The sequence below is a fragment of the Homo sapiens genome, chromosome 6 (assembly GCF_000001405.40).
Source record: "Homo sapiens chromosome 6, GRCh38.p14 Primary Assembly".
Classification (NCBI taxonomy): Eukaryota; Metazoa; Chordata; class Mammalia; order Primates; family Hominidae; genus Homo; species Homo sapiens.
Window position 1 is genome coordinate 57,067,621 of NC_000006.12, and position 13,831 is coordinate 57,081,451.

Below are 13,831 nucleotides of genomic sequence, written 5' to 3' on the forward strand. Positions count from 1 at the left end.
ATGCGATGAGCCGTGATCACGCCATTGCACTGCAGACTGGGCAACAAGAGTAAATCTCTGTCTCACAAAAACAAAACAAAACAAAAAAAAAACAAACTGAAGATTTTGATTGGAATTATACTTAAGTAATTTTCAAATCTGGGGAGAAGTTATATCTTTACAAAACTTATTTTTTCAATCCAATAACAAGGTCAGCTTAACATATACTTTTTCTTTCTCCTTAGTAAATATTTGCATTTTTCAGGTAGGCCCTACACACTTACTAATTTAATTTCTGTGTATTTTATATGTTCTTATTTTACATGTTGCTATTATAAATGGGACATTATTTTATTTTTATAGTTGACTATTGCTATATAGAAAACATATATTTATGTATTCCTTTTTAAGTGTCCAAATTACTTTTTTTGATTCAAGTGGGTTTTCTGGGTAGAGGAAAAAGTTTCTCTTTCAAATAATGATCATTTTACCTCCTCTAACATTTATGACTAGTATTCTTTTTCTTATCTGATAGCATTGCTTATGACTTCAGAAATAATAGTAGTGGTTACAAATATGTTTATTTTATCCTTCACTTGAATAGGAATGTCTTTAGGATTGTTATGACTGATATTTGTTGGCTGCACATAGACATTCTTTAAACAAGTGTCCCACTGACTTGTGTTTTGCTTTTGCTGCTTTAAGCTAGAATGTCCCAGGTAGTACACACACAATCTCTCTCACACACACGCAACTCTCATAATACACTCATGAAAAGAAAAGAGTTCTTTGAGATTCTAATATCTGGGACCTTTGTGGTAGATAATCAGGCTCTATCCTCAGAGGAAAAAAAATTGAACATTTTGATTTGAAAGTGGCAGGATCCAGAGGCAAAAAGAAGAGGAAAGGAAAAGAAAGAGATTCTGGATCTTTGGAATTATGTGACACACATTCCTGGTACCACTTCCAGGTTCATTTGCTTTCTACATGATTCCATTTTATGATCACAGTGAAGACTGTAAGCCATGATTTAAAAAAAATCTACTTGGCATTATTTTATTCTATTAGTACGAATCAAGCTGAACTCGTGAACAGTGATTGCTGTATCATAAGTTCAAAAGTTACTGAATAGGTGGGACTGTTTTCTCCTATACCAAACAGTCCTGACTGTATTACTTCTTAGGTTCTTTAATCTATGTTTTAAATAATGTTTTCTCCCCTTCCTCTACATTCTGGTAACACCAAATGCCGGCAAGGATGTGGAGAGATTTGATCATTCATACATTGCTGGCAGGAATGTAAAATGGTGCAGCAACTTTGGAAAACAGTTTGGCAGTTTCTTTAAAAAGTAAACATGTTAAACCCTATGACCCAGGAATTGCAGTCTTGGGTATTTCTCCCAGAGAAATGAAATCTTATGCTCACAGAAAAACCTGTACATGAAAGTTCATAGCAGCTTTGTAATAGTTAAAATCGGGAAACAACCTAGATGTCCTTCAACATGTAAATAGTTAAACTGTGGTACATCCATACCATGGAATGATGCTCAGCAATTAAAAAAAAAAAAACTATTGTTACATGAAATAACCTGGAAGAATCTCCAGAAAATTATTCTGAGTGAAAAAAGCCATCCCCAAAAGGTTACATACTGTATTATTTCAGTTATCTAATGTGAGAAACAGGCTCACCCATCCAAACCCAAAGAATGGACTCAGAGGCACAGAGAACAGTGAAAGTGAGACTTTTAAAAGTGGTCTTGCAAGATTGGATGTCTGGTAGGCAGGCATACTCGGGGCAGCTTCAGCATGTAATTTATCTCCTAGCCTGCAAGTCCCTCCCCTAGTTCCTCATTGATCAAGTACTATGGGGTTACAATCTGCCCAGTCACCTAAGTTTCATTATCCACCTTATAAGTTTATACCCTTGTCCCCTTCCCTGCTTAAGTTTCGATTTCACGGTAACGAAACTTTCTTCCCTTTGATGGGCTGACCCTTCCTCTACATTCTGTTCACTTATCATGACTTTCTAGGAGCATGAGCCGTGCAGTTTGTTACATCCTCAGGCTGGCTGCCAGTGCGTAGATTTATCATGCCTTGAAAATGGACCATTTAAGATGTTTTCTCACGTATAACATTATTGAAATGACAAAAATAATAGTAATGGAAAACTCATTAGTGCTAGGTAATAAGGAGGAAGCAGGGCTGGGAGAGAAGTTATGGCTATAAAAGGACAACAGAAGAGATCCTTCTGGTGATAGAAACATTCTGTATCTTTGTAGGAGATCGGTCAGGGTGGTGGGAAAAGTTACAAAAATTATAGGAAAAATGCAAAACTTCTTGGAAGGCCAGGAGTTTTTGCAAAAGCTTCGAAAGAAAATTTGGCTGAAGGCAGCTGAATTCTCTCAGGGTAGACAACAAGAAAGTGTAAGAGAGTTTATCTAGATAAGTTAGTTTACTTAGGCCTGGAACCTGGCGTTTAATCATCGGCATGCAGGACTGCTCTCTCCATGGGGGGGGAGGGGCGGGGTGACCATGTTAATTACCCCAAGTTGTGTTGACTCAAAGCCTTTGTCATTAAATCTGTACTAAATGCCCACAGCGCAGGCTTGTTGGGGCTGCTGTGACTGTTTATGGCACCCTCCTTGGTGTCTATGAGCAGCCTAGTCCGCTAGCTGCGGGCCCAGGCAAAAAACCTGTGTCTGCGTACATTTTTTCATCTGTAGTTCGGCCAGGGTCAGACCCAGCAGGTGGTGCCCCTTGTGAGGAACACTGCCACAGATTGCAATGGAACCCTCGAAAATGAAGGTGAAGAGACAGCGCGGTCAGAAAGTCACAAAGTCATTGATGCCCTCTCAGGATTTCGAAGTTTGAGGGAATTGTTCAGGCCAGGGTTTCATCAGGGGACAATAGTCATCAGTTCAACAGCAACACTATATCAAAGTATTGAAACAGCTGCTTAAAGCTAGTGGAGCCTCAGTTTTGCAGGCTCAATTAAGGGACCTAATGCAAACTGTTGTTTCCCATAACCCATGGTTCCCGGAAGAAGTTACGCTAGATGTAGAGCTCTGGGAATGAGAGGGGAGAAATCTTAAACATCATGCACAAGGGCAGTGGGTCCCAGTAACATCTCTAACATTATGGGCTTTAGTTATGGCTACTTTGGTCCCACTCTACACAGAAGAGCCTAAAAAGGGAAGGAAGGAGGAACCATCACCTACCTTACCGCCTCCTTCTCCCTCAGCCCCGCCATTAATGGGCAGAAATACCAAAGAGGAGACAGTTTTTTCCTGAGCCCCCTCCTCCAATAAATAGGAAAAAAAGACAAGGGATACGCTACAGCTATGGGACCCTGTCTTAGGCAAGCGGCATTAGAAGGGGAGCTCTTAGCCTACCCGGTAATGCAAGATCAACAAGGCAATCAGGTGTATGAACCCATTACTTTTGACGCTTATAAAGAGATAAGAAAAAGCATTAGAAAAAACGGAGCCACTAGCCCATTTACGAAAGGGTTAATTGAGGTCACTCTGCAGACCTCTTTCTAATAATGGCCACTGTTATTCCTCCCCTACCCCTAATGTGGCTCTCTCAAAATCCTATTTGGGTAGAACAGTAGCCTTTAAAGGGAGAGAAATTACAAAGAGCTCATTAATTAGTTGAGGAGCAATTAAAAGCCGGCCATATAGAACCATCAAATAGCCCTTGGAAATCGCCCATTTTCATCATTCCCAAAAGGTCTGGTAAATGGAGACTTTTTGCATGACTTACAGGCTATCATGCTAATTTGCAACCTATGGAGCCCCTTCAACAGGGCCTCCCTTCCCCTGCAGCGATTCCTCAAGATTAGCCTATAGTCGTTATTGACTTAAAAGACTGCTTTTATACTATTACCCTTGCAGAACAGGACAGAGACAAATTTGCATTTACAATACCAGCTATCAATAATGAAAGGCCAGCTTGCCAATTTCATTGGAAAGTACTTCCTCAAAGAATGCTGAACAGTTCTACCATGTGTCAGTATCATGTGAATCAGGCTTTGCTCCCCATTAGAAAAGAATTTCCTAGTTGCAAGAGTATTCTTTTATGGATGATATTTTACTAGCAGCCCCAACGGAACAGGTACTTTTAACTTTATATGCCTCTGTCGTAAAGAATACACAGCTAAGAGGTTTAGTCATAGCACCTGAAAAAGTACAAATGTCCTCTCCTTGGAAATATCTTAGATACATACTAACTTCCCAGTCAGTAAGACCTGAAAAGGTTAAATTAAATACTAGCAACTTACACACCTTAAATGATTATCAAAAATTACTAGGTGATATTAATTGGCTTCACCCCACCTTGGGCATAACTACTGATAAGTTACAAAACCTGTTTTCTATCCTAAAGGACAACATAGCCCTAGGATCTGTCAGGTATTTAACTCCTGCAGCAAAAAGGGAAATTAAGGAAATAGAGCAAGCTATTTCTCAGAGGCACATAGATCACATAGACCCAAAATATTCAGTTCAATTGTTTGTTTTTCCTACTAAACATTCCCTAACAGTATTAATAGGACAGATGGCCCCAGGGCTGTGCTTCCTAGAATGGGTTTTTTGCTCACATACCGGAACTAAAACTCTATCTCCCTATATCCAGCTAGTTAGTAAAGTCATCTATTCTGGCCACAGATGATGCAGTCAGTTGCTAGGTTATGACCGTGATGTCATCAGAATTCCTTTGAGTAAAAAACAATTCAAAGCAGTATTGCCCCTATCTCTAGATCTTCAAATAGCACTCTCTGATTACACAGGCCATATAGAGCATGCCCTTCCTGCTGACAAACTAATTCAGTTCTTATCTCATACTACGGTAGTTGTGCCTACAAAAGTAGTTCACTCCCCCATACCCAATGCTTTTAACACTTTTTACTGGCAGCTCTGGTAAAAATGGAAAAGCGGCAATTTGGTGGAAACCACATAATTCCCTCACTTGTTCTGGATTTACTAGCACTCAGCTAAGGTTGGAGCCTTAATATTGGCCCTGGAAACTTTTTCCACTCAGCCCATCAATACTGTTAGTGACTCTGCTTACTCTGTTTATTTACTGTAGAACCTTGAAACAGCTCTCATTAAGTCCACTCTTGAGCCCACCCTGTGTGCACTTTTTCTTCAACTTTAACAATCGCTAGGTCAAGTACACATCCTATTTTTATCATACGTATTCGAGCCCACAGCTCACTGCCTGGACCATTGGCTCATGGCAGTGAACAAGCAGACCTGCAAGTTATGATGTCACTGCTTGACCAAGACACCCAATCGCATCAATTTTTCCACCAAAATTGGAGAAACTTAACTAAACAATTTAAACTTACCCAAAGACTAGCTAAACAAATTATCCTGCAATGCCCAGATTGCCAATTCACAGGCATGTCCCCTCCTTCAACAGGTGTTAACCCTAGAGGACTAGAACCTAATCAGTTATGGCAAACAGATGTTACTCACATCCCTGAATTTGGAAAACTAAGATAGGTACATGTATCCGTGGATACCATTTCTCAGTTAGCATGCATGTTTTTCCTGGAGAGTCCACCCAATGTTATTAAACATCTTCTCTTAACTTTTGCATTTATGGGGCAGCCCCCAAAAATTAAAACTGGTAATGGTCCGGTTTATGCCAGCTCACAATGGTCCGGTTTATGCCAGCTCACAATTTCAACAATTTTATCACATGTGGACTATCCAACCTTCCACAGGCATCCGTATAACCCCCAAGGACAGGCCATAGTAGAATACGTCCACTCCACCCTTAAAAATATGCTCAGAAAACAAAAAAGAGGGAATATGAGTAAGGACCCTGCAACACTACTAGCACAAGCCTTATTTACCCTTAATTTCTTAAATTTAAATGATAAATTTCAATCAACTATAGAAAAGCACTTTTCTAAAACCTCTCAAGACATAAAACCTGCAGTTTTATGGAAAGATGTAAATAGTAATGTATGGTGTGGTCCAAATGAATTGCTAACGTGGAAGAGGATATGCTTGTGTTCACACCCCCTCAGGTTCTCTTTGGTTTCCAGCAAGATGCATCAAACCTTACCATAGCATGGCTAGGACCCAACCCGGTACCAGAAATAAAGAAAATGGCCCTGCAGGACCCACAGCCCTGGACAATGTGGCTTCCTCAGATGACACAGGCCGACACAGGCCCCAGACGTAATGCTGAAGAAGACAAGTCAGAAGACTGAGCGAATCCTGCCCCGGACACAGACACCATTCACTCCAGATAATTTGTTCCTTGCTATGCTTTATTAACCTTTTTTAATTCTCTCACTCTGCCTGCAACCAGTACCTGCTACACTCTATTGGGTCCATCTTCTAAATCTGCCTTTCTTCCACCCTGTTACCTGGGCAGACACCCACTTCCCAGCCTCTAGTAATGTAACTGCTTGGCTGGAAGGGGTTAACATACCCCCAGTGGGGTTCCTTAGTAACGACACACATTGAACTGAGGTGCCAAGTAACACTACATGTTACTCCTTCATTGGAAAAGAATGTTGCTGATTATACTCATGTATGTCTTGTTTACTAATTCTAGGATGCAAAGCCAGAAGACAAGCAGTGACCACTATGCCTAATAAGCCTGTTGCTGCACACATCTGTACTCTTCATTCAACAAAACATGATGCAAAAAACAGGAAAAGGGGCAGACGTAGGAGATTGGTCAGGGTGGTGGGAAAAGTTATAAAAATTACAGGAGAACCACAAACTTTCTTGGAAGGCTGGGAGGTTTTGCAAAAGCTTCTAAAGAAAATTTGGCTGAAGGCAGCTTAATTCTCTCAGGGTAGATAACAAGAAAGTATAAGAGAATTGATCTAGATAATTAGTTTACTTAGGTCTTGGAACCTGGCCTTTAATCATCTGCAGGCAGGACTGCTCTCTCAGTGGGGAGGGGGTGACCATGTTAATTACCCACAAGTTGTGTTGACTCAAAGCCTTTGTTATTAAATCTGTACTAAATAAATGCCCGCAGCGCAGGCTTGTTGGGACTACGACTATATACAGCACCTTCCTCGGTGTCTATGAGCAGCCCGGTCCCCTAGCCGCAGGCCCAATCAAAAAACCTGTGTCTACGTACATTTTTTTCATTTGTCACTTGGCCAGGGTCTGTGGGTCAAACCCGGCATATCTTGACTGTAGCACTATCAATGTCCTGGCTAGGATGTGGTACTATAGTTTTGTAAGGTGTCACCACTGGGAAAGTGATACATGGAATCTCTAATTCTTGTTTTGAAACATTTATTGTATAATATAATTCACACACCATGTAATTCACTCATTTAAAGTGTACACTGCCATGATTTTTAGTATGTTCACAGATATGTACAATTATCACCACAATCAATTTTGGAATTTTTTTATCACCACAAAATGAAACCTTGTACACTTTAGCTATCATCCTCCTATCCTCATGTAACCCTCCACAACTGTAAGCAACCACTAATCTCTTTTCTGTCTATGTAGATTTCCCTCTTCTGGATGCTTAATATGAATGGAATCATATAATATGTGGTATTTGTGACTGGTTTATTTCACTTACCATGTTTTGATGGTTCATCCATGTTGTAGTATGCATCAAGCATTTTATTCCTTTTTATGGCTGAATAATACTCTATTATGTATGAACATACCACATTTTATTTACCTATTCATCAGTTAATGAACATTTGAGTTGTTTCCACCTACTGGCTATTATGAATAATGCTGTGATAAACATTCACAGACAAATTTTTGAGTGAACATGTTTGCACTTCTCTTGAGTATGTATCTAGGAGTGGAATTGCTGGGTCATATGGTAACTCTATGTTTAATCATTTGAGGAACTGCCAAATGGCATTCCACAATGGCTGCATCCTTTTATATTACCACCATCAGTGTTTTAGGTTTAGTATTTCTCCACATTCTTGTGAACTCCAGTTATTACCTGATTTTTAAATTCTAGCTATCCTTGTGCTTGTGAAGTGGTATTTCATCATGGTTTTGATTTGCATTTACCTGATGATGAATGATATTTAACATATTTCCATGTGCTTATTGGCTGTTTATATATCTTTCGTGCAGAAATATCTATTCAGATCATTTGCCCATTTTTAAATTGGGTTGTCTTTTTATTATTGAGTTGTAAGGGTTCTTTATATTCTGGATACAAGTCTTTTACCACATATATAATTTGTAAATATTTTCTCCATTGTCTTCTCTTTATCAATGGTATCCTTTGAAGCAAAGAAGTTTTTTTTTCTTTATTTTTTGTTTTGTTTTGTTTTTGAGACAGGGTCTCACTCTGTCACCCAGGCTGGAGTGCGGTGGCATGATCATAGCTCACTCCAGCTTTGACCTCCCCAGGCTCAGGTGATCCTCCCACCTCAGCTTCCTGAGTAGGTGGGACTACAGGTGTGCACCACCATGCCTGGCTAATTTTTGTATTTTTTGTAGAGACAGGATTTCACCATGTTGCCCAGGCTGGTCTCAAATCCTGGGCTCAAGCAATCTGCCTGTGTTGGCCTCCCAAAGTTGTGGGATTACAGGCATGAGCCACTGTGCCTGGTTAGCACAGAAGTTTTACATCTTGATGAAGTGCAATTTATTTTTTATTTTGTTGCTTGTGCTTTTGGTGTCCTATCTAAAAATTATTTCCCAAATTCAGTGTCATGAAGATATACCTCTATGTTTTCTCCAAAGAGTTTTATAGTTTTCACCTCTTACATTTAGGTCCTTGAGCCATTTTGAGATAATTTTTTTTTTTTTTTTTTTTTTTTTGCGATGGCATCTTGCTCTGTTGCCAGGCTGGAGGGCAGTGGCGCGATCTCGGCTCACTGCAACCTCCGACTCCTTGGTTCAAGTGATTCTCCTGCCTCAGCCTCCCAAGTAGCTGGGATTACAGGCATGCACCACCATGCCCAGCTAATTTTTGTATTTTTAGTAGAGATGGGGTTTCACTATGTTGGCCAGGATGGTCTCGATCTCCTGACCTTGTGATCCATCTGCCTTGGCCTCCCAAAGTGCTGGGATGAGACAGTTTTGTATATGGTGTGAGCTAAGTTCCAGCTTCATTCATTTGTATGTGGCTGTCCAGTTTTCCCAGCACCATTTGTTGAAAAGACTATTCTTTCCCATTGGACAGTCTTGGCACCCTTGCTAAAAATGAGTTGACCGTGGATGTATGGATTTATATCTGGACTCTCAGTTGTATTACATTGATGTGTATGTCTGTCCTTGTGCCAGTACGACACTGTTTTGATTGCCATTGCTTTGTAGTAAGTTTTAAAACTGGTGAGTCCTCCTACTTGATCTTTTACAAGATTGTCTTGGCTATTCTGGGTCCCCTTCAGTTCCATATGAATTTTAGAACCCGTTTGTCAATATCTACAAAGAAGTTATTCTGATAGGGATTTGGATAGGGATGACATTGAATTTGTAGATCAAGGTGGAGAATTTTGTCATATAATGATGTTAAATCCTCTGACACATGAACATGGGATATTTTTCCAGTTATTTAGATCTTTAATTTCTTTCAACAATATTTTGTAGTTTTTCAGAGTATAAATTTAGTAATTCTTTTCTTAAATTTATTTTGATGCTATTATAAATGGAATTCTTAATTTCATTTCTGGATTATTCATTGTGACTGTATAGAAATACATTTGATTTTCATATATTAGTTTTTTTGTTTGTTTGACACATTGTCTCACACTGTCGCCCAGGCTGGAGTGCAGTGGCATGATCTTGGTTCACTGCAACCTCTGCCTCCAGGGTTCAAGCAATTCTCTTGCCTCAGCCACCCGAGTAGCTGGGGTTACAGGCACGTGCCACCAGGCCTGGCTAATTTTTGTATTTTTAGTAGAGATGGGGTTTCGCCATGTTGGCCAGGCTGGTCTTGAACTCTTGATCTCAAGTGATCTGCCTGCCTTGGCCTCCCAAAGTGCTGGTATTACAGGCATGAGCCACTACGCCAGGCCAATTTTCATATATTAGTCTTGCATCCTGCAGCCTTGTGAAGCTTGTTTTTGGGTCTTAGTTTTTTTTTTTTTTTTTTTTTTTTAGTTAATTCCCTGGGATTTTCTATATACAATATTATGTCATGTATGAATAGTTTTACTTTTTCCTTTTCAATATGGATGCCTTTTGTATCTTTTTGTTTGTTTGTTTGTTTTTGAGATGGAGTCTCACTCTTGTTGCCAGGCTGGAGTGCAATGGCATGATCTCAGCTCACTGCAACCTCCGCGTCTCCCAGGTTCAAGCGATTCTCCTGCCTTAGCCTCCCAAGTAGCTGGGATTACAGGCGCCCACCACCATGTCCGGCTAATTTTTTTGTATTTTTAGTAGAGACGGGGTTTTACCATGTTGGTCAGGCTGCTCTCAAATTCCTGACCTCAGATGATCTGTCCACCTTGACCTCCCAAAATGCTGGGATTACAGGCATGAGCCACCACGCCTGGCTGCCTTTCATATCTTTTTATTGCCTAATTGCCCTGGCTAGAACCTCCAATTCATTGTTGAATAGAAGCCTCAAAGAGGACATCCTTGCCTTGTTCCTGATCCTAGGGGGAAAGCATTTAGTCTTTAAATATGATGGTAGCTTTGGGTTTTTCATAGATGTCCTTTATCAGGTTGAGGAAGTTTCCTTCTCTTCTTAGTTTATTGACTGTTTTTATCACAAAATGGTGTTGGAGTTTGTCAAATACTTTATCTGCATCTATTAAGATGATCATGCAATTTTAATTTGTTATTGATAGAATAGAATGTATTACATTAATAGATTTTTGTATGCTAAACCAGCCTTGCATTCCTGGGAGAAGTTTCACTTGGTCATGGTGTATAATGCTTTGTATATATTGCTGAATTTGGTTTTGTAGTATTTTGCTGAGGATTTTCATGTCTATATTTAGAAGAGATATTGGTCTGTAATTTTCTTTTTTTGTGGTATCCTTCTCTAGTTTTGTCATTAGTGTAATACTGACTTTATTTTATACATAAATTCATAAATTGCATATATTTATGGTGTACAGTATGATGTTTTGAAATATATTGACTTCATTAAAATGAGGTCAATATTACTAATCCCAAAACTAGAAAAGGATATCACAAGAAAAGAAAATTGGGAAATATTCCTGTTCTTCTGCTTTTTGGAAGAGCTTGTGAAGAATTTGTATTAATTTTTTGTTACATGTCTGGTAGAATTCATTGGTGAAGAATTCATTGCACTTGGGCCTCAGCTTTCCTTCATGGGAAAGTTTTTGATTACTGATGGAATCTCTACTTGTGATAGCTCTATGAAAGTTTCTGTTTCTTCTTGAGTCAGTTTTGGTAGCTTGTGTCTTTCTAGGAATTTGTCCATCTTGTCTAAGTTATCTAATATATTGGTGTACAGTTGTTCATTGTGTATTTTGTAATCTTTTTTTATTTCTGCAAGGTCGGTAGAAATGAACCCTCTTTCATGTTTTATCTAGTAATTTCAGTCTTCTATTCTTCTTGGCTAGTCTAAGATAAAGGTTTGTCTATTTGTTGATCTTTTTAAAGAACCAGCTTTTGGTATCATTGATTTTCTCTATTACTTTCCTATTCTTTATTTTATTAATTTTTACTCTGTTCTCTACTATTTCCTTCCTTCTGTTTGCTTTAGATTTTGTTTGCTATTCCCCCCAGGGGTTAAGGGTGGAATGTTAGGTTATCAATTGAAGATCTTCTGTCTTTTGTTTAGATATTTATTTATTTATTGAGACAGGGTCTCACTCTGTCGCCCAGGCTGGAATGCAGTGGCGCAGTCTTGGCTCAATACAACCTCAACCTCTTGCACTCATGTGATCCTCCCACCCCAGCCTCCTGAGTAGCTGGGACTACAGGCGTGCACCATCATGCCTGGCTAATTTTTGTATTTTTTTGGTAGAGACAGGGCTTCACCATGTTGCCCAAACTGGTTTCGAACTCCTGAGCTCAAGCATCCACCTACCTTGACCTCCCAAAGTGCTGGGATTACAGGTTGGTGTAAGCCACCGCACCCAGTGTCGGGATGTTTTTTTTTTTTTTTTTGAGACAGAGTTTCACTCTTGTTGCCCAGGCCGGAGTGTGATGGCGCGATCTTGGCTCACCGCAACCTCCGCCTCCCGGGTTCAAGCAATTCTCCTGCCTCAGCCTCCTGAGTAGCTGGGATTACAGGCATGTGCCACCACACCTGGCTAATTTTTTATTTTTAGTAGAGACAGGGTTTCTCCATGTTGGTTGTTGGTCAGGCTAGTCTCAAACTCTGGACCTCAGGTGACCCGCCCGCCTCGGCCTCCCAAAGTGCTGGGATGACTGCCTGGCCATGAGATCTTTTGTCTTTTAAAAAAATGATTTATTGTTTAAATTGACAAAGATTGCATATATTTATGGTGTACAATATTACATTTGAAATATATGTATGTTGTAGAATGGCTAAATGAAGCTAATTAATATGGGTATTACTTCACATACATTTGTCATTCTTAATATAGGCATTTATAGTTATAAATTTTCCTCTAAGTGCTGCTTTAGCTGCATCCCATCAGTTTTGGTATGTTGTGTCTTTATTTTCATTCATCTCAGAATATTTTTTATTCTTTTGCTTTCTTCTTTGAATCATTTGTTATTTAGAAGTATGTTACTTAATTTCCACATATTTGTGAGTTTCCCAAACTCTTTCCTGTTATTGATTTTTAAGTTCATTCCATTTTGGTCAAATAATCTATTCCGTATGGATTTTATTTTTTAAAATGTATTATTTTATGGCCTAGCATATGATCTATCCTAGAGAATGTTCCATGTGCATTTGAGGACAATGTATATTGTGTTGTTGGGTGGAGTGTTCCATAGATGTCTCTTGATTCTAGTTAGTTTATTGTGTTGTTTTCTATTTCCTAGTTGATCTGCTATCTATGTTGAGAGTGAGTTATTAAAGTCTTCAACTATGATTGTTGAATTATCTATTTCTCCCTTAATTTCTGTCAGTCTTTGTGTCATGTATTTTAGTGCTCTGTTATTAAGTGCAAATTGGTGTATCTTCCTAATGAGTTAATTGTTTTATTATTACAAAATGACTCTCAACTAGGTGTGGTGGCTCACACTTGTAATTCCTACATTTTGGGAGGCTAAGGTGGGCAGATTGCTTGAGCTCAGGAATTTGAAACTAACCTGGGCAACATGGCAAAACCCCATAACTACCAAAAAATATTCAATTATTAGCTGGGCATGGTGGCATTTGCCTGTAGTCCTAGTGACTCCAGAGACTGAGGTGGGAGGATTGCTTGAGCCCAGGAGGCAGCGATTGCAGTGAGCCAACATTGTGCCACTGCACTGCAGCAGAGTGAGAGACCGTGTTTCAAAATAAAATAAAATAGGGAGGGATAGCATTAGGAGATATACCTAATGCTAAATGACGAGTTAATGGGTGCGGCACACCAGCATGGCACATGTATACATATGTAACTAACCTGCACATTGTGCACATGTACCCTAAAACTTAAAGTATAATAATAAAAAAATAAAATAAAATAAAAATTCTCATTTCTAGTAACTTTTTTGTTTTAAAGTCTGTTTTATCTCACATTAGTATAGTCACTCCAGCTTTCTTGTTGTTACTGTTCTCATGATATTATCTTTTTCCATTCTTTTACTTTCAATCTATTTATATCTTTGAATCTAAGTGAGTTTCCTCTAGACAGCCTATACTTTGGATCATTTTATTTGTGAAAGAAGCTTTGTTGGATATAGGATTATTGTTGGATATAGGAGTCTTGACTCACAGTTGTTGGTTTTTTTTTCTTTGAGCACTTTGAATACATTATCCCACTGTTTTCTTAC